Raw genomic sequence first — 19,504 nt, forward strand, 5'->3', positions numbered from 1 at the left:
TAGTGAGTGAAGTCTTTGTCTTGGCCTCAAAAAAGTCCATTCAGAGAAGGGGCTGAAGGGGACCTTGGAGAGCTCTGTGGGGCCAGCCCGCTAGACCCACAATCGGTCGCACTGCTGAGCCCAGCAGTGTCGCTTAGATGATCAGCAGAGCCACCTGCGTGTGTGCACTCACCCTGGTTGCCACTGGCCAAAGGGAGGCCTGCCCAGGCCCTCGCAGTGAAATACTCATGCCTCTGACTGCAGCTGGCACCACCCTCCCGGAAGGCTCCATCTATGGGGCCCCTTCTCTGAAGTCCAGAGAACAGAGTGATTAGGTGCTGGCGCCCCATGCAGTGTGCTGCCCAAATGATGCCCCTCTCAGGCCCAAGCCCGGTAAGTCCCTCATTACGCTGCATCACTCCAATGGCTCTCCTCTGCAGGCTGGAGCTTTTTTCAGCTGTGGTTTATATAATTTAATGCTAACCAGAGTTCTTTGAGATACTCTGAAACTGCAAACATTTTGTCAACGCCTAATCAAAAAGCAAGTGCTGCCTCCCTCAAAAGATGCCCACATGTGAATAAACTAGAGGCCTCTTTATTGGGAAATGGTTTTTCCTTGGCTAAGTTCTGGTGACCTGCTTGAAGGTCCCTGCAAGTGGGTGGGGAGGAGGACGGACCAAGGGGGTGTGGTGGGGAGGGATATTTGGAGCCAATATCAGAGCCCGACAGACGTCATTTCTTCTGGGATCCTCAGTAGCTTAGCTTCTAGAATGTTCTGAAGAATCAGAAGAGGGTTTCTCAAACTTTCATGTGCCCAAGAATCCCCTGGGGATCAAATGAAAATGCAGGTGCTGACTTGGCAGGTCTGGAGGAGGGTCAGAGGTTCTTCATTTCCAACCAGCTCCCAGGTCATGACCATGCATTTGTCTTAGGACCAGCAGGGAATCAGCGCTACTCTCACTCCTAAACTAGAATGGAGGTGGGGTGGGGGCAGCACGTGCACATCCCCAGCGTGGGCCCCCAGGGGGTACTCAGCAGGTATTAACTGCAAAGGATATGAGTGAACCAGAATCTTCACAGCCGCTCTCCGGATGGGGTGGAAGGGACTGAGGACATACAAGGCGTTGGTGGCACTGAACCGGAAGATGGTCTTGCCTTTATTCAGTACGATGAAAGTCTGGGGACAGACAGTAGCATTAGGCCCTTGTGTAGAAAGGCTTTTGGGGGCAGCTTTTGGCTCAGAGCCCTTGGACTGTGGCTGAGCGGTGAGGTGGGAGGAGGAGGAGAGGGGCTGAGGGAGGAGAGGGGGAAGGGAGGCTGCCAGCACATTTGGCAGGTCAGTAGACTCACTGCCTTGCCCATGGGTGGAGGTGAGGGAGATCTCAGGGGAATGTCCGGTTGGTTGAGATTTAGTTTCAAAATTATAGTCACAAAAAGAAGGGAGCTTTTACAGTCCTTGCCCAGCTGTTGTCACAGCAGAGGCTCAGCAGACCTGGGAATGCCTCCTCCCTCCCCTTCTCCCTTAGCTGACCCCTCCTCACCCTGCATGGGGTCCCTGCCAGGCCCACTGGGAGGGAGGGCGTGATAGGGAAGCTGCGTCAGCAGGAAGGACTTACGGGTGAGGAGAAGGGAAAACGAAAATGCAGAAGCAGTCCCCTGAGAGAGCTTTTCTTGGGACCCTGTCTCCTGGAGTCCAGGACAAATGTCAGCCCCATCCCACAGGACACAGCCTACTGCCTCCCTCCAGAGGATCATGAACAGTGCAATGCAACCCCTCCCTGAGCTTCTGGAAGATCCTTTCTACACAGCACAATGGGGCACAGGAGCGGACAATGAGAGCCAAATGCTGAGACACATGCACATCAGGTGCCCAAGCAGCCCTTGAGGACAGCAGTGCCTCCCCACCTGCCCCGGTGTGTGGTGGTCACAGCTCTGTGGCCTCACGGAGGTCTAGGGGAATGTCACAACCTGACATTCCCCTGAGACCTCCCTCACCTCCACCCATGGGCAAGGCAGTGAGTCCACTATTCTGCCGAATGAGCTGGTGGGACAAGGTTCTACCCAATCTGGTCTGGGGAGACAAGCTGACCAGATAGATTAGGACCAAAAGTTCTGTTGTGGTGCCTCCATTGCCTTGTGGGGCTGCAGGCAGCGTGGCCAGGGATCAACAAGTGGAAACAGAAAGTGAGAGGCCGGAATCATCCCTGGAGCTGCTGTTCAAGCATTCCCAGACCCAAGGACAGAAGAGATGGTGTCCCTGATCTCTCACAGGCTCAGCTGCCACCAGCCCCCAAAAGCCCAGTCCAGTCTTGACCTCAACCTCAGTCAGGTCCACCTGCCGTGGAGCCTGCCTGTCCCAGCTAACTTCAGCCTAATCGCCACTCATCCTCTCCCCATAAGCTTGACTCACACTACCAGCTGTGGCCTTAACCCTAACCCCAATTCCTACTTCCATCTCCGACCAACCATGACCTAGGCCCGCCCACCTTGACTAAGCCCACCTTCCAGCCTCATTCTGACTCCAGCTATGGCCCCAACCTGGCCTGCACTCCACTGGAGTCACTTGAACCAAGGGAAAGTTCAGCTGGGGGCTTGGGAGCAGGACCAAGTTCAAGGCCTCCTCCCCCACCTGTTTATGTGGACTGGGTGGGCTTTTACTTCACATGCACAACCACTCACGTATCCAATGCATGCATGCACACCCAAAGACACGGCCCAGGCTCATCCCCAGGCTCTTGGTCTTAAACCACAGTCACACACTCTTGTAGTCACATTTTCTCACTGGCCACACCAGCCCTGTCTGACCCCCATGAGCTTCCTCAGCCTGGTGCTGACTGCAGTACTGTGCCTGGCCACTGTCTTCCTCATACTCAGCCTTCTGGGAAAAATACCTCCCCCAAATTCAAATCCACCTTCCTCTGGAAGTAAGGCCCAGAAGTGTGGGTAGCTTGGAGACCAAGCCTCTGCAGGAGCTCTGTGTGTGGTGGGGATGGGGCACAAATGGGCCTGAGATCTGGAGGAGGGAGGCCAGGGCAGGGAATTTGGACAGGGGCAGTTACCTCTTGGGTCGGAGCCATGCTAGGAGGAAGCCCAAGTCTCCCTGCCCTAGCAGACAAAAGCCACTTCCCTTCCCTATGATCAGAAGGGACAATGGCAGAACATCACACGCCACCCTCCCCCAAAAATCCCCCAGTGATCACTGCCCTCTCCATCCCTTTCAGACTTTCCACTGGCCTTCTTGGTCCCATTGCCAGCCCTCAAAGCTCAGGGAACTGCTGCTGTGGCCGTGGCCTGAGCCAGCCAGCATAGCCATGCATAGTTCGTGGGTGTGGGGACTACATGCTGTCCCCATTAAGGAGAAAGGACCACAGGCTATGCTCTGTGGCCCAAACTCAGGCAGGGCCCAAACGCAGGCCAGAACTTGGGGCTTGACTCCAATTCACACACACACCACACAACGGGGAGGAGTCCTTCAGGGGTAAAAATCTAACCACACGTAATTCCCAAAGAAGGACATCACAGGAGGCGTGTTTTCCCTGAGGCTACCCTCTCTTCTTCATTACACCAAACCAGCATCTCAGGCTGCATAATTCCTGTTTTTATTCCAGAATTCCAAAATTAAGGTGATTGGAATATAGATCACCAGTGACTCATTTCCCCAGAGCCTCATGAGCCACCCTAAATAGAGCCCCATATGGAGGCCAGGCCCTCTTCCCCCTCTGCTCCATTGACAAGGGAGTTGCACAGAAGGGTAGGCAGGGCTGGAGGTGGGTGGTAGTCACCTTTTGGGTGCTATAGAAGGGGTCCAGGTCCTCCAGGGGCTCTCCGATGAGCTCTTGGGGTGGATTGCCATAGAGATCTGGCAGCTTTTTGGAGGCCTGCAGGTCCAGCTGGGGCCGGGGAGCCTCCTCCTCGGGCAGCCCCTCTCGGCTCTCCTGCAAGGTGGTTGAGCCGCGGGCTTGCTTCTCTGCCATGCGCTTCTCGATGGCTGCCAGGGACTCCCGTGTGAACCTGCGGAAGCTGCTGGTGCCCCGAGGTAATAGGAAGTTTGCCATCTTCTCATCCTGCTTCTGGGCACAGGCTCTCCTCACGTTGCCTGTGGGGAAGCTGGAAGACACAGACAATGGGCCTGATTCTATGCCCAGGGACAGAGAGCAGGGTGGGCAGACCTCCTGGGGGTGGCTGTGCTGGTGGAGGGAGGGACACCATTTGCAGAGAGGCTCCAGACCCCAGGATGCCAACAACTCCACAGGCACACCTGGGCAACACTGGCCTGGGTAAACCCAAAGCCCCCCCAGGCTACGAGGCACACATGTAGACAGGCAGCAGGGTCACCTCCCCTTTCCTCTCCTAACAAGCATGTCTGAATTCAAGCAGGCAAGAGTGACTGTGTCATCCAAGCACCTTCTTTTTGCCCCATTCCACACAACAGGAAACACTTACATCTTTTGGTTTCTTAACTGTCATCACTTGAGACATTTCTCAGCTTGGAGTTGTCATCCAGATGTTGGCACCCTAGTGTACACAGCTGTGGTGGAGCCCCTGCAGAGAGGCTCCCAAGGAAATCCCCAGGGTGCAGAAACCTTCCGAAACAATCTGGCTCAAAAAATGGGCAATGCCTCCCTTGCCCATCTGAGCTATTTCCCTTCCTTGGAAAGGTCAAAATTACCCTGGCACTTTAGGTAACCCGAAGATAACTCTGCCTTCCATCTCCCCCATCCCCTTTAAAAATACATACATGCTTACAGATTTTGTAATAACCAAATAAAATTCTAGCAATAAATTGAATCATACTGCAAAAAGAAAAATGGGAAGAGCTGATGGAGTATCTCTGGCTCCTCACACTGCTCCTTGCTCCCCTCCTCCCAAATGTGAACAAATGAATGCTGATCCCAAGTGACAGCAGAACCGGAAAACAGTGACCACTCATCAGCGAGGACATCCAGCCGGCACAGGCATGTGATGCCAAACCGGGAGAATGTGGCCCCTGGTGGCCTCAAACAATCCAGAACCTGGTGTGAACACACTCTGCCTATGACACCGAGGCAGAAGAATGCAGTCCCAACTGCCCCACCAAAACAGGATGTGGTCGGAGCAGCTCCTGACTGTGACACCAAGCCGGGAGGCTGCATCGCTAATGACCACATCAAACCAGGGAATGGTGGGCACCCGTTCAAGAGGGCACGGTGGACACCTGTTGGACATCTCTGCCAGAACAGAATCCTTTCCCCTCACGAGGGTCAGCTTTGCCTTGATCTTACTTCTGCAAAACATGTCACCGATGACCCCAACGAGCTGCTGCCGTACCAACCCCTGCACATGGCCAGCAAACGGCCTGGACTTTGGGGCCGCAGCCCTGAACCCTGAATTGCTGTGAAGCAGGCACCTGGCCAAAAGACAGGTAAATAGTGAGCAAACACAACACACTCAGGCCTCAAAAGGGCGCCGCTCGTCCCTGGGGAAGTGTGGATTGAGATTTGTGAAGGGAGGCAGGACAGAGGTCCCAGGACCCGCACGTTAAGAGGCACTCTGTGTCTTTTTCTTGTTTCATTCAAGTAAAGTTAAAGAAACATCTTTGTTAAAAATAGCAGGTGAGGGAGTAGGTTTCTACTCTATAAAAGCATTTCCCTGTCTCCCTTCCATGTTTGAGTGAACAGACATCTGTAACACTCATCAATGCATGTGAGTGAGGACTTTTTTTTCTTAGCTCATGGATATTTGGGTAATTTTAAACTATTTTCTTTATACTTGTCTTCATTGCTTGAATTCTTTAAAATCAGCTTGCATTATTTTTACAGAAACAATAAAACTCATTTGTCCTTTTATTTTAAAAATTAAAAAAAAAAACAGTCTGGATGACAGCAGCTTCTTACAGGGCAACCCTCTCCACTGTGAGCAATCAGTTCCATAAATTGGGAAGCCACCTCTTTTGCTTGGACTTAATTTCTAAAAACAGTGTTCTCTGTCTCACTGTATCCATCTGTGTCCATATGCCTGCAAGGGTTGTGGGGACACATGCACGCCCATGGATCTGCAGAGGCTCACTGGTACACACTGGCAAGGGTTTGTGTGTGTGTGAGAGAGACAGAGTGTGCGTGTGCGGGTGCAAGCTTACACCTGCACATACGTCTGTTCTAGTAAAGGTGTGTTTTTAATTTGTATTAAATAAAGGATTCATGCAGTTACATGCACATAAGTGTACAGATGGAAGAATTTCCACAAACGGAACACACCTGGTAACCAGCACCCAGAGAGAGAGATAAAATGCTCCCAGTCTCTCAGACTTAGGCTGCCCTCCAGTCACTAAATACCCTCCTTTGCCCAGGGAATCACTCTCCTCACTGCTAATGGCATAGACCAGTTTTGCCTGTCTGTGTATTAATAGTTCAGGGGCCCTTCTTAACAGACTCGGTGAAGGGGTGGTGGAGAGATTTAGGGGAGAAACCGCATCTCCTTCTCATTAACCTCTAATTCAAATTTAGCATTTCCTTGAATTGTGAATGTAGGCAACAAAGCAGAAATTGTGACCAAAAGAAACTGCAGCTATTTCCCTGTCATGTTACAGTTGCTGCTGGCCTCTCAAATAACATTAATACTCATCACGACTTCAAAATTATAGCACTTAGATTTGCTGCTAGATCTTAATATTTAAAACATGAATAAAGACATATACTACTCTATCAAAAGTTGGTTTCTGTGTTCCGATAGCTGTATTTCAATATAGTTGGTTTCCTTTTTAATCCTATGTGTTTTATTTTGTCTCAAAATATGTGCTTCTGAGATGGGCTTCGCTCAACTGGTAGAGAAAGGTTAAGACCCTGGCTTGGTCCTTGCTCAGGTGCTGACCCTGGGGTCCCCTCCTCTGCACCTCAGCTCCTCATCTCTAAAGAAGGATGAGGCAAGCCTCCAAGTCCTTTCTGGGATTCTATAATGCTCTTACCGTGAGTGGTTTCAGCCACTCCCCTGGCCTCTGGCTCTGACTTACCTGAACTTTGTGTCATTTCTGGGTGTGGATTGGGACCCCAGTCTGCCCCACCCTTGGACCTGAGAAATTCCATTCTGAGTCTTGCAGTGGCCCTGTGGGATGGACAAAGACCAGAGAGGCAGATGTCCTACGTCCAAGCACTTCCATACCCTCTCCAGTCTTCTCCATCCAAGGCCTGGTGAAGAAGCCCTAGGTCCTAAGAAGGATCCTATCCCAGCTGGCCTCCAGCAGAGCATCCACTCGCTCGGGGCCCTGGCCTGGGAGGGGTATAGTCTGCCCAAGGGAGCTGCTGAAACCAGATTCCAGATGAAGCTCTCTGCTGCAGCAGCCGGGCAGCCTCATTTTCCAAAGTAAACCTACCAAGAGTGTCCTTTGTCTCTGGGGCCCCCAGGCTGCTCCTGGTGGGCGGGTGGGATCCGCTTTCTCCCTTATTCTCCCACCACCTGCACCTGGCTCTGGCCCTGCCCTTCCTTTAGCAGCTCAGGGCCCACGCCCTGCTGTGGCCAAGCCTGGCTGAGTCCTGCCTGCAGGGCTTCCGGTGCTGCCAGGGTGAGGAGGGCTCAGGGGTGGTCTGAGGATGCTCTGGGCTCAGGTTCAGCCACACCCCTCAGGCCTAGGATGTCAGGCCTGCAGATTTCAGAACCCATCCCCTGGCTGTGGAAGGTTGTAGGGGAAAATAGGTAAGCAGGGGCCCCTGGTGTTGGTCTCACATAGCCCCAGAGTTTGGGGAGGCTGGACCTGGCTTGATTGTAAGACCACAGTCGCTCATCCCCTAGATGCTAGCACCTCATGATTCTCCACCCCCCACCAGGACAGCTGCTCCATCTGCATCAGCTTGGCCATCTGCAGCAGCCCTACCGCAGCTCATCAGGCTGGGACCGCTCCATCCGGCTATGCACTCTTCCGGGGCCAGGCTTCCCTGTCCTTTGGGCTTCACTCTAGAGCCCCACCCCCAACTCCATCCTGCCCCAGGTTCATCAGCTTCTGGAACTGGATGCATCCCTCCCTGCATCCGGAAGGCTCCTGAGAGCTCATGATGGGAGCAGACTGTGAATCTTCCTTTCCAGACTGGCTCCTCCTGACACCCTTTCTTCTGGCACTGGCCACAAGTTCCCAACCCTCACCCAACATCACTGCCCTGGGACAGGCCTCCTTGCCCCTGCTTGGACCATGGCAGTGCCTCCCTCTTTCCTTCTATCCCACACATGCAGCCCCCTGCTCCTAGATTTAGACATTCTCCAAAATTCTGTGTGCCCTGAGTGATGCCAGAGTCACCTCCTGCTCTCCTCCCCACTCTACCTCCTCCAGGACACCTCTTCTGACTGCCCACCCACCCACACTGACTCCTTCCTCTGTGCCCCCTCACCCAGCTCTGGCCCCTTCCTGGCCTCTGCTGGTTACTGACAGGCCCTGTAGTATGTGTATTCACATCAAGGTAGAGATGCTGCACAAGGAGAATATTAACTGTTCACACCAGAAACTAGACCCCCCTGCACTGTTTTCTCAACTGGCTTTCCTGAAGGAGGGTTTTCTGAATGCAAAGGCACATAGCTGGTGCTCAATCAGCAATGGTGACACTGCTATGACAGGACACAATAGCCAGGCAGGTAGAGAGCAGCTGTAGGCACTGTCTGAAGTGGGAGATGGATGTGGGGGGAACTACTTGTCCCGGTTTACATGGGACTTTCCTCATTTTGGCAGTAAAATTTCTGCACCTTGGGATACCCCCCAGTCCTGGACAAATCAGGTTACCCTGGGGAGCCTCCCCTCTCCTTGCAGCCCCTCCCTACTCACTCCCCTCCCTGATCGCAAAGGAAGGCACACTTCAACCTCCTGAGTCACGTCTGGCATTTTGGTCTCCTTGGAATCGGAGCCTCTGGAACACAGCATGCAAATAATATTCTTTGCCATGTAAATTTATGCAAAGCATTGTGTGGAAGTGGTTCCCAGGCTTCCTAGAAAATCCCTGTGGGCTTCCTCCACTCTGTGCTCCTCTCTCCTGCCCTGCAGTTGGGGTGACCTCGGGCTGGAGCACCCAGCACCTAGGGTTTGCAGTCTCACCAAACCCAGAACACAGTGCAGCTTTGCCCGGCGACAGGGCACTCGCCTTCTGCCTGCCCCTCAGTGCTAAAGAAGAGGCTCAGGAAGAGGGTGTGGGTGCCCTCAAAACAGGAGCTCACTCCCCATAGGTGGAGGTCAGGACTCCCTGATCACACTCTGATCATACTCCACAAATGAGCACAGGGCCCCTGCTCTCTACCCTGGCTGACAGGACTCCCTCCAAAGACGAGTCTGGGTGCTCCTGGCCTGGCAAGACCAGGGACAGGAGAATGGGACTAGATGTAGCTTGACAAGCTGTAACTTCACCCCAGTCATCCACAGGCCCCCAAATGTGGAGATGACAGCCAGGAACCTCGCTCACTCCAGGCTTCCTTGCTTGGAGTCACCCATCAGAACTTCTAGCCCTGCTTGTAAGGCAACTGCATTTTTTCCTTGAGAACATGTCAACCCATCAACACCTCACAGACTCATTTTATTAATTGAATGATTCAGTGAACATTTAATCAGCACCCATTGTGTACATGGTCCTAAAAATGACTACACAGAATACTTTTCTTCCCAAAGTGATGGATCCCAAATCAACAAGAGATAATGAGGGGATGAGGAAGAGTCATCAGTAAAGAGAGTCTGTGGTGGCTGGCAAGGAAATTCACCCAGATTTGCTGACATTGGCAACAAGAAATGCCCTGAGCCAGAGAACCAGGCCTTGCATCCACCTCTGCCTCCCCGCCTGGCCTCCCACCTCACCCTCTTGAAGATTTCCTGTTCCTAGGGATAAGGAAGTGGTTAGGGCTGTGCTTGGAAGCCAGCTCACCTGAGTGAATCTGGGCCCTGGCCATGCATTTGTCTTGTGTCTTTGGGCAGATTGATTGATGTTTCTCTACCTCAGTTTTCCCATTCGTAAAATGGGGTTAATAATAATATCTATTTTACAGGGCTGCTGTGAAACATAAATGTATTGATATTTGCACATGCTTGACACACAGAAAGTGCCAAATGAATTTAGTTGGTATTGTGGTTATTGTTGTTATTATTATTCTTATGAGAGATCAAGCTCAGAAGGCCTCCTTGTTGCCCACACCAGCCCTCCCTGCCTGGGCTGGCTCTTTCCCTCCTCTCTGTATTCCTGACACACTTGAATTCCCATCCTTACTTCAGCACAGGATGGAGTAGTTTACTTGCACGCCTGCCTCCCTCCTGGATTTTTGTCCTGGTCTCCCAAAGCAGGGACTGGTGAATGAAGGAATGAAAGAATGAGGGAGTGTGAGATTAACCTTCCTCTTGCCTGGATAGACACTCACACTGTGACTTAGTCCCTTTTCTAGACCTCAGTTTTTCCAACCCCAGGCACTGGACTAAGGACCACCCCAGCAGCATCACATGCTCATTCTGTGCCCTGCACTGCACTTAGTGCAGTTCGTGGATCACCTTACTTCATCCTTGCAACAATCCTAGGAAGACGGGGGTTATTAGCCTCGCTTTACAGATGGGAAATCTGACTGTAGGAGAGATGAAGTGAGCCCCTGTCTGTATGAAGCCAGGCCTGTGAGCCTACCCATTGCACCACATTGCCTCCTACCTCTGCGTGCAGAGAGTGGGATAAAAGCTCATGGCTTGCCTATGGCCCATCTGCCTGGACTGTGTCTGTGACCCCCACTTCAAGGCTAAGAGTCAGCCCTGTCAGCCTCATCTGAGCCTGGTTCTCCCTCTATGCAGCCCAGATGCTCCCAGGGAGACCTAGCCGATTTCTGCCCATGCCCGAAGAGTCAGCAGTTTTCCTGGCAGAAGCGATTCCCCAGCAGTTTTTCTCTCCAGCTCAAGCACTGTCCAACAACAGGGTGGCCACTCATTCACTGCATGTGGCTACCAAGTGCTTGGAATGTGGCTACTGTGGACTGAGTTGTGCTATTGTAAAGTCACATCCATTTTGCAGGCTTAGTACAATAAGGAATGTTGACTATTTCGTTAATAACTTTTAATATTGATTACAAGTTAAACAGATAATATTTGATAGTAGTATACTGGATTAAATAAAATGTGTTCAAGTTAATTTCACGTTTTTTTAGTTTAAAAAATGTGGCTGTTAGAAAATTTAAAATTGCATATGTGGCTTGCATTTGTGACTCATATTATATTTCTGTTGGATGGCACTGGCATCAAGTTCCAGCCACCAGGCCCTAAGCCCTTAAAAAAATTCTACCTGAGGCCGGGCACAGTGGCTCATGCCTGTAATCCCAGCACTTTGGGAGGCCGGGGCAGGTGGATCACCTGAGGTCAGGAGTTCGACACCAGCCTGGCCAACATGGTGAAACCCCATTTCTACTAAACATACAAAAAGCTAGCTGGGCGTGGTGGCAGGCACCTGTAATCCCAGCTACCAGGAGGCTGAGGCAGGAAAATTGCTTGAACTCGGGAGGCAGAGGTTGCAGTGAGCGGAGATTGCACCACTGCACTGCACTCCAGCTTGGGCGACAGAGCGACACTCTGTCTCGGGCAAGGGTGGGCGTGGGGAAGACTTCTACCTGCTTTGGGGGTGGGGCTGGGGGCGGGGGCCTCAGGGAAGGATTGAAAGAGCATTGTCCCCCGCAGACCAGAAAGTGCCCATCCTGGTTTCTGGCAGTGGCTGTGGGTGGTTGTGGAGGCTCAAGCCACAGGTTGGGATGGTGGGGGATGTAAGTGGGAGAGATCGACAGTAAGTTTCAGACCATCCCTCCCGCCCAGGCAATTGTCTGCACAGTCTCGGCTCTCCCGGGCTAACAGCTTGGACAAAGGCTCAGTGGGGGTGCCAGCTGGTGCTGGTGGCCTGTGCTTTCAGGTCCTTGCTCCCAGATCAAAGGCACATTGGTCCGTCCTTGCACGGGGCCTCAGCTAACCAGCTCCCCACAGGCTCCGCTCCTTTGAGGCTGCATAGGCATTAACCCTGTCCAGTCTGGAGCCCAGTTCTGGGGGAGATGGGAGAGTCTGAGGAGCCTGTCATTCTCTACTCTTAATCTCCGCCTCCAGCGATCTTGCTAAGTCCTGAAGAATCATCCCCATCCCTCCTGGAGGTGGAGGAGAACACACCCACCCTGAAGCCAGGGAATGCCCTCATTTACATACATTTACATCTCATTTATTCCAACACCCAGGCTGAAGCCGAGGCTAATTCAGCTGACAGGAAAACCCCACCCGCTTTAGCTCTGCTGCTCTGCTGAAGTGATTCCCCAGGCAGGGATGAAATGAAATGGGGGTGCCTGAGACCGGGTCCTCCTCCAGAGGTGGGAGCTGAGGAAGAGTGGGCTCTTCGGCCTGAGCCCTGAATTTTGCCCACCTCCCAAGGACAAACTGGCCTGGGGGTAGCCACTCTCTTCACTGAAAGGTGGGTGGCCCTGCTTTTTTCTTCATAGCCCTTCCCCACAGTAAGGATGGGGGCCGGGGGCTTGGCAGCAGCTTATTCAACCCATCGACTGTTCATCAGTGTCTGGGTGCCAGGCCAGGGGAACTGCAAAAGGCCCAGGTCATTCAGGTACCCCCTCCAAAGTGCATAGGGCACCCCCCTACCCCAGGCCCGAGTCTTCTTTGTCAGCCCCTTTACACATGCCCAGGTCCATCCACAGGGTATCTAGAATATGCTGAGTGGCACTTCGCTGTCAGCCAAGGCAGCACTGCCCCTGGCCCTGGGTCTCCAGGGTGGGGACCTGGATGGTCTAATACCCTGAAACCACAGAGACCCAGAGTTGGAGTGCCAGCTTAGTCACCCAGGGGCATTCCACCCCGGACCCCAGACCATCTCTGTGTAAACACACATGGTATACATAATCAGGCCAGAAAGGTGCCCACATGTGGCCCAGGAAACACCGTCATGGCACACAGGTGCCCGAGACAGCAATCAGCGTTCTAAGTCTCTTTCTAGCTCAATTCCTTCCAACTCATTTTTCTCAATACTTGAGCTGAAAAAAAGCTTCACAGAGGAACTGTGCACTGATGCCATGGCAACTGAGGCATTTATGGGGCACCTACTGTGTGCACCAAGAGAGATGGAAACCTCGGAGGCCCACCTCTAGGGTCTCTTAGTGTCCAGAGGGAAATAAGCCAATCAACCAATACACTAAATTTATGCCACAAAAGTGTCCATGATGTATTATAGCCAAATGTGCAACCCTTTTTTCTTAATATTCTTTCATACTGAGGTACTCTTTAAACACAAGAAAATGCTTTAAGTATACAGTTGGATGAGTTTTGACAAATGCATACACCTGTGTGAGTGCCACTCCAATAAGACAGCAAACATCCCCTCACCCCAGAAAGTCCCACTATTCCTTTCAGTCAACTGCTCTGATTTCTATCACCTAGGTTGGTTTTGCCTGTTCTGGAACTTCATGCATATGGAATTCTACCTTATGGGCTCTTCTGTGTCAGGCTGTTTTTACTCAACACGATGTTTGAGATTTTTACCTTTTATTTGTTGGCGAGTGTGATCTAAGCTCCCTGTGTAATGCACTGTGAATACAAGTCACCCATCTGGGGACGTGTCCTTAATTTGATCATAAAAGGCGAGGACTGGAAGGGACCTGAAGTCCAGCTATCTCTGGGGACCATAGACCCCAAGGGATCCTTAGGGAGTTGTTATCTCTCCTTCCCTCGGACTTCCTGAAACAGAAGCTCAGCAATTAGACATCTAATAGGCACCTAGGCTCCGCAAGCAAGTGGGGGCTTTCCTTGGGTTTCCAGTTTTGCTGGCAACTAGCTGTCGCTTTATTTAACTGGCAGTCTGTGCTGCATCTGACCCAGCACAGTGGTGAGGCTGTCGCTGCAAATGGCCGGCTGAGCTCCCGTGTCTTCTTCTGACCACGTCTATGAGCAGAACATGAGGAACAGAGGCTGGGGTGGGTGGTCTCTGGCCCTCAGCCTCCTTGTACCCCACACCAGCTGGTGTCCCTTGAGTGGAGCCCTGGGCTCAGTACAGAATGAATGCGGGGCTGGGGTTCTTCCTAGGAGCATGCCCAGAGGCAGCAGAGCTGCGCAGCCAAGGGCGGGCACCTTGGCTCTGAGGGGCTTGTCTGGGCCACTTTCCTGCGCTTGGCCCAGGTCGATGAGGCTGGGGCTTTGATGGCCAGGCAGGGTGCACTGATTGGGCTTGGCTGGTCCCACCCATGGTCTGATTTTTCCCCCATCTTAGATCATTTGGGGTACCTCCCAGCCAAGCCTGAGTGTAGGGGGATGGCTAATGTAGCTTGAGTACCCTGAGAACTGATTTGGTGCCTGAAGCCAGATTACCTCTCTCTGCTCTGCCAACTCTTTGAAAGCGGCCTCTTGCCTTGCACAGGCCTTCGAGGAATCAATACCTACCAGAACGGCATTTACCTTTCTCCTGGTGCCAGGAGAAGCCTCTCTCCTGTTCAAAATCCATTCCCAGAAACCACGGGGGCTCCCTGGGCAAGGGTAAGGGTGAAGTCCTGTCTGAGCTCTGCCCACTTCCCCGTGTGACCTTGAGCCTATGGGGCAGCCAGCACCAGCCTTGGCCACCCAGGGCTGTTAGGAGGCCAAGGAAAGCCCTTGGTGATGATGACAGGGGTTTCTGAGTGGACAAGAGACCCTCCTGGGCACACAGAGATGCTGCGAGAGCAGCTCCATCCCTCCACTCTGCTAATACCTCTGTGGGGACATGACTTTCCATTGCCTCCCTAGGAGATTTAAACAGAAGAAGAAACTGAAGAGGAGAGAAAGAACTGAAGCCTCAGTGCATAGACATTCTCTCCTGACAACAGGCCCAGTCACATGATCTGGGCATTCACCTCTCTGAATTCTGTGCATCCTCTGTGGAGGGGTACCAGTCCCACCTGTTCCAGGCAGTCTCGCCTGGCTGCTCTGGGCCACAATGACCTCCCACCAGGGAAGCTCAGCCCCTAAGTTCAACCTTACATTCTTCCTGTCCTGGGCGGATCTCTCCCTGGCCCTCTGAGGCGAACCTAGGAGGTCTTAAGAATTTTCACTGTCCTTTTCTGCCCCTCCAGAATAGTAAACAGAGTGAGGAATGGACAAGAGAGGTTGAGAAACTGTTCTATCAGACTCTGGCTTCGCAAATCACAACTAAATTTTATGTTGGACTTGGGGCATACCAGGTACCCCTTGGGGAAATGAAGTTGCAGGGGGAGGCTGTGGGTACCAAGCTCCCCAGCCCATGGCTGTGGCTCTTCAGGGAAGACAAGTGACGGCAGGCGGGGTGGAGAAGGTAAGATAAGTGTTAAAGAATTGATGTCAGATGGCCTCAGTGTTGTGCCAGGGGTGGTGCCTACCTCCACAAAGCCTGGTCCTGGGACTGTCCCCACACTGGGGCTCCCAGGCTCTGAGAATTGATGTGGGGTCTCTATAAATAGCGTCATTCCATATTGATCATCTTAAAAAGACACGGTATGTTCTAGGCCCACGGATAGGAGAGTTGTGTCTAAAAATAGTCTCATCCCCAGGAACCGCTGCCAGCCTGAGGCGAGTGGTGTAAGCTGTGCATAGCCGAATGGGCAGTCTGAAGGGGTGGGTCAGAAACAGAGGCACAGAACCTCTCCATCCCTACCCTATTCCCTCTGCTCCAACCCACAGAGTTTGCCCCTGCCTCAGGGCCTTTGCACTTGCAGTTCCCTCTGTAACATTCTTTCCCTAGACCTCCTCGGGCTTGGTTCTTTCATGTTATTCAGGTCTCAGTTCAGTCTCCTCCTTCAAGGGGCTTTCCCTGCCCAGCCAGTCTAGAGTCACCCCCACGTCTCTCCATCACATTGTCCTGTTGTATTTCCTTCATAGCACTAGCCCCTATCTCAAATTATCTTCTGTATGGATTGGTTTAATGGTATCTCCCTACTTGTATGTAAACTTCATAAGAACAATTGTTATAGCTTGTACACCTTCTAGAACCTTCCATGGCCCAAAGGCATGAACTCTGCCTCAGACCCCTGCATCAGGGCAGCCTGGGCTGGCAGCAGGCTGTGGGGCTCTCCCGTCCCAGGCTTCCCCTGCAGCCCTGGCCAGCCCTGTCGTGGGTCTGCTCCCCACGGGGCCCAGCCTCTGTCCACAGGCTACTCACTGGCCCTGCTTTTTCCTCTCTCTGCCTTCTTCATGTATTTAGCCGCAGGGCTTTTACTCCAGCTCCCTTCTCCCAATCCTATCACCCTGGATACCTGCCCTAGACAACTTAATCTTGTCCCTAAATACGGCTTTCTGGAACACCCTTCTCTCTGCAGAGCAAGGGCTCCCTTCCCTTTCTGCCTGCCACCCCCAGCAGGAATCACATTTCCTGCCATCAAAATCTCCCTCCCAGAGATTCACAGAAAGAGTTATTCCCTCTACCCAGGCCTTCCTGACTGCCCCCTGAACAAACAGTAACCACTACACACTTCACTGGTACGATCTTAACTCACAGACCTGCAGCCCTCACTGAGGGAAAGGCCTTCCCCCAGGCTCCTGCATGGCGATGTGCTGCACGGACACGCATGCCCACAGTGTCCACTCCAGGCTCTCCCGACAGCCCTCCCTGACCCCACCCCTCGCCAGCTCCCTTCTATCTCTCTCCTCCCTCTTCAACCATCAAACTCTTTGAAAGAGCTGTCTATACATGCTGTCTCCACGTCCTCACCTCCAGCTCGCTTCTCAACCCACTCCAAACTGGCTTCCATTCCCACCAAGTCACTCATTCATTCATTCAACAAGAACCTGTCTGTACTGGGCCCTACATTCTGCGGGCGCTGAGTGGAGTTTCTCCTACCAAGGTCACCAGCACCCTCACCATGGCTCGATCTAATGGACACTTCTTTTTAAATTATTCATTCTTTTTCTATCTATCCATGAACTTCTGAGAATGCACCTTAAGTCTCTCAGCAGAAAGAAACAGGGCACTTTCCCTCCCCCCGAGCAGGGCACTCTCCTTGCCTTCTGCAGCGCCTCCTACTCCTGGCTTTCCTCCTACCTCTCTGGCTGCTCCTTTTCAGCCTTCTCTGCAGACTTCTCCTGCTTTGATGGTTGGAGTATTTCTGGGCTCCTGACTCAGCCCCCTTCCTTCTTACCCTCTACACCACGTTAGAATCACCTGGGTGCTTCCAAAACTCCCGATGCCCAGGCCTCATCCCAGGGTCAAATGAATTAGCATGTCTAGGGCTGGAGCCTGAGCATAGGTATTTTTACTTAAAGCTTTCCAAGTGATGCTAATGTCACCAGGAGTGAGAACCCCAGGTCTGCACTCTCGCTGGGCAATCTAACTCAGTGCCACATCTCCAATGACCAACCTCTGCTGAAAGCTCTAAGTTTCCATTTCCAGCCCAGATCTCCATCCTGAACATACTTCCTACCTGGACCCTTCCCTCCAACTACCTTCTGGATGTCAGCATCTGTCCCTGGAAGTACAACAGGTTCAAATCAGAACCATGAAACATCTGTCACTTTTCCTTTGCTCTTCATCAAGCTTGCCAACCCAAATTTAACTTGCCCATTCTTCTTCTCATGGTGCGCCAGGGGGCAGCACACCTCACTTAGTGAGACATTGGAGGTGGGGAATGGGAGAGCAGCATGTCACTTGACAGAGAAGGAAGATGGGACACCATAAGTTCTATTACCTGTGGTAAGCTGCCAGTCGCCTCTCCTTCAATGGAAAGACTTTGCATGGCACCCATGGTCTGAGCTGGGGAGGTGGTATAGTACACAGCAGATATTGACACTTGGGCTCAAACCCAAGTTCTGCTACTTAGAAAATGTGACGGTGTGCAACTATTTAACCTTTCTGGACCACCAGTTTCACCATCTGCAAAACGGCCATTATGATGGTCCCTACCTCTAGGGTTGATGCAAGGATTCAGTGAGATTAACCGTATAAAGCGCTTAGTGCCATGCCTGGCCTGCAGAAAGCACTCAGTGAATGTTAGCTATTTTTAGTAACATTACTGAGGATAAATTCCCAATTCCTGAGCAGAGCTCACAAGGGCCCCCGTGACTGTGACCTTGGCTTTAACTCCGCTCTTCTCTTCCTCACACCATGGGGCCCAACGAATCACTCAACTAATAATTGTGCTGTTTCACTTTTCTGTCTTTTGTACATACTGGTCCTGACAGCTAGACTGCACTGTCCTTGCCTGGAAAACTCCTATTCACCCTTCAAAACCCAGTGTGGAAGGTTATTTTTGTTAGAATAAGATTCTTGACTATTCCGGCCAAAGGTAACCACCTCTCCTGTGAATGGGCTCTGGGGACACACTTCTACCACTGCACACCCTTCCAATAACCTTCCCAAGAGTGAGCATAAGCCAGCCTCCTCTGAACAGAACACAAACTGCAATTTGCCACTGTCCCTGGCTGCCCTCAGGACTCCCTTCTCTTTGGATTGCCTGGGCACCAGCCTCCGCTCTTCTCCCATCCCCAGCTGTCTCTGGTGCTTCCCACTAGTCCTCCAAGCCCAATCTTCATGCTGAGTGAGTCAATACTAGAATTTTTCCAGAGGAGCTTTGATCAACACACAGAGAGGGAGCCGAGCACCTTGGAGCACAGCAGCTGCCCTTGCCACATTGGGCTGAATGCTGGCTCTTGGCACCCCAGGGCCAGTTCCCCTTCTGCTCAGATCCTCCTGGCTCAGTTCTAGGCTTATTTGCCCCACAGAAAGTAGATCTCAAGGTGTCTTCACATTGCGTGGTGCCCCCAATCCACTGATTCTCTAGATGACATTGAATAAGTCCTTGAGCTCCTCTGGGCCTCAGTTTCCCCACTTGTATGATATGGTAGTGATGACATGATTAAAAGTTTAATGAGGCTCTTTTCAGCACAGAGCTGGACACTGTAACATAGAATCTGTGTTCCACACCCTGGCTGTCACCTGACCTCACCCTCTCCATGCTCCTGCAACAGCAGCCTGACCACCCTCATTCCACCTCGCACTCATTACCACCGATTCATATGCACCTGCCCAATTCTAACTGAGTGGAGATGAGGTCAAACAGATGGAGTTGAGGGCAGCGGCAATGGCCTGGGCCCCCAGTAGCTGGGGCCTCTGCTGCTCACGGTCCCACTAGATCCTGAAGGATGGTGGGAACCTGGGAGAGGGCTTGGGATGCCATGGCATGGTGGGGGTCACGTGGTTTGCCATCTGGATGATACTGCCTAGGCTCACTGGGAGACACACCTGGGGTCTCAGCAGGAGGCGAGCAGATGCCTGGGAATGGAACATAGGCCCAGGACCTTAAGAGGAGATAGATCCCATGGCCCGGGGCTGGGCTGAAGGCACTGAGGAGCACAAGAGTGAGTCCTGCACTATCTTAGCCATGGCATCCTGATCTGGCTGTGCTCTGCTCTCCAACAGGTGTTTGCAAGGCAGGCCTACAGCCAGGGACTTGTCCCCAACATCATTTCCCCCCATCCTCATCACCACCACTAACAGTCCCCACACCTCTGGCCCCCACCAGCTCTTGGCCTCTCGGACAAAGCTTGGCACCTCCACTTTCTTCCAGAGCGCCACCAAAGACGATCAAATAA

At 52.4% G+C, this 19,504-nt stretch overlaps 1 protein-coding gene across 12 annotated transcripts in view, besides 3 other annotated features; it reads right to left on the reverse strand.

Annotated features, from left to right (window-relative positions):
* SCN5A (sodium voltage-gated channel alpha subunit 5) overlaps window positions 1-19,504 on the reverse strand; it is a 101,626-nt gene that overhangs the window by 81,212 nt on the left and 910 nt on the right. For 10 of the 12 annotated variants that reach the window (NR_176299.1, NM_000335.5, NM_198056.3 and 7 more), the window contains exons 2-3: window positions 3,762-4,086; window positions 1,038-1,156 (exon numbers count right to left, since the gene is read on the reverse strand). Coding sequence is in view for 11 of the 12 variants with exons in the window: in NM_000335.5 (NP_000326.2) it covers window positions 1,038-1,156; window positions 3,762-4,034 (392 nt within the window). In the remaining variant the exon portion in view is untranslated. Of the gene's footprint in view, window positions 1-558; window positions 1,157-3,556; window positions 4,087-19,504 lie in introns of those variants that run through there. The other 2 variants (NM_001407186.1, NM_001407187.1) reach the window with 2 other exon arrangements.
* Window positions 11,535-12,278: an enhancer, noted in NCBI's record as "OCT4-NANOG-H3K4me1 hESC enhancer chr3:38682299-38683042 (GRCh37/hg19 assembly coordinates)". NCBI's record gives its function as "activates a minimal SCP1, AML or CMV promoter by ChIP-STARR-seq in naive H9 embryonic stem cells {active_cell/tissue: H9 hESC(naive)}" and the evidence as "EXISTENCE:reporter gene assay evidence [ECO:0000049][PMID:30033119]".
* Window positions 13,456-13,966: an enhancer, noted in NCBI's record as "H3K4me1 hESC enhancer chr3:38684220-38684730 (GRCh37/hg19 assembly coordinates)". NCBI's record gives its function as "activates a minimal SCP1, AML or CMV promoter by ChIP-STARR-seq in primed H9 embryonic stem cells {active_cell/tissue: H9 hESC(primed)}" and the evidence as "EXISTENCE:reporter gene assay evidence [ECO:0000049][PMID:30033119]".
* Window positions 13,967-14,475: an enhancer, noted in NCBI's record as "H3K4me1 hESC enhancer chr3:38684731-38685239 (GRCh37/hg19 assembly coordinates)". NCBI's record gives its function as "activates a minimal SCP1, AML or CMV promoter by ChIP-STARR-seq in primed H9 embryonic stem cells {active_cell/tissue: H9 hESC(primed)}" and the evidence as "EXISTENCE:reporter gene assay evidence [ECO:0000049][PMID:30033119]".

This window comes from Homo sapiens, chromosome 3 (genome assembly GCF_000001405.40).
Source record: "Homo sapiens chromosome 3, GRCh38.p14 Primary Assembly".
Classification (NCBI taxonomy): domain Eukaryota; kingdom Metazoa; phylum Chordata; class Mammalia; order Primates; family Hominidae; genus Homo; species Homo sapiens.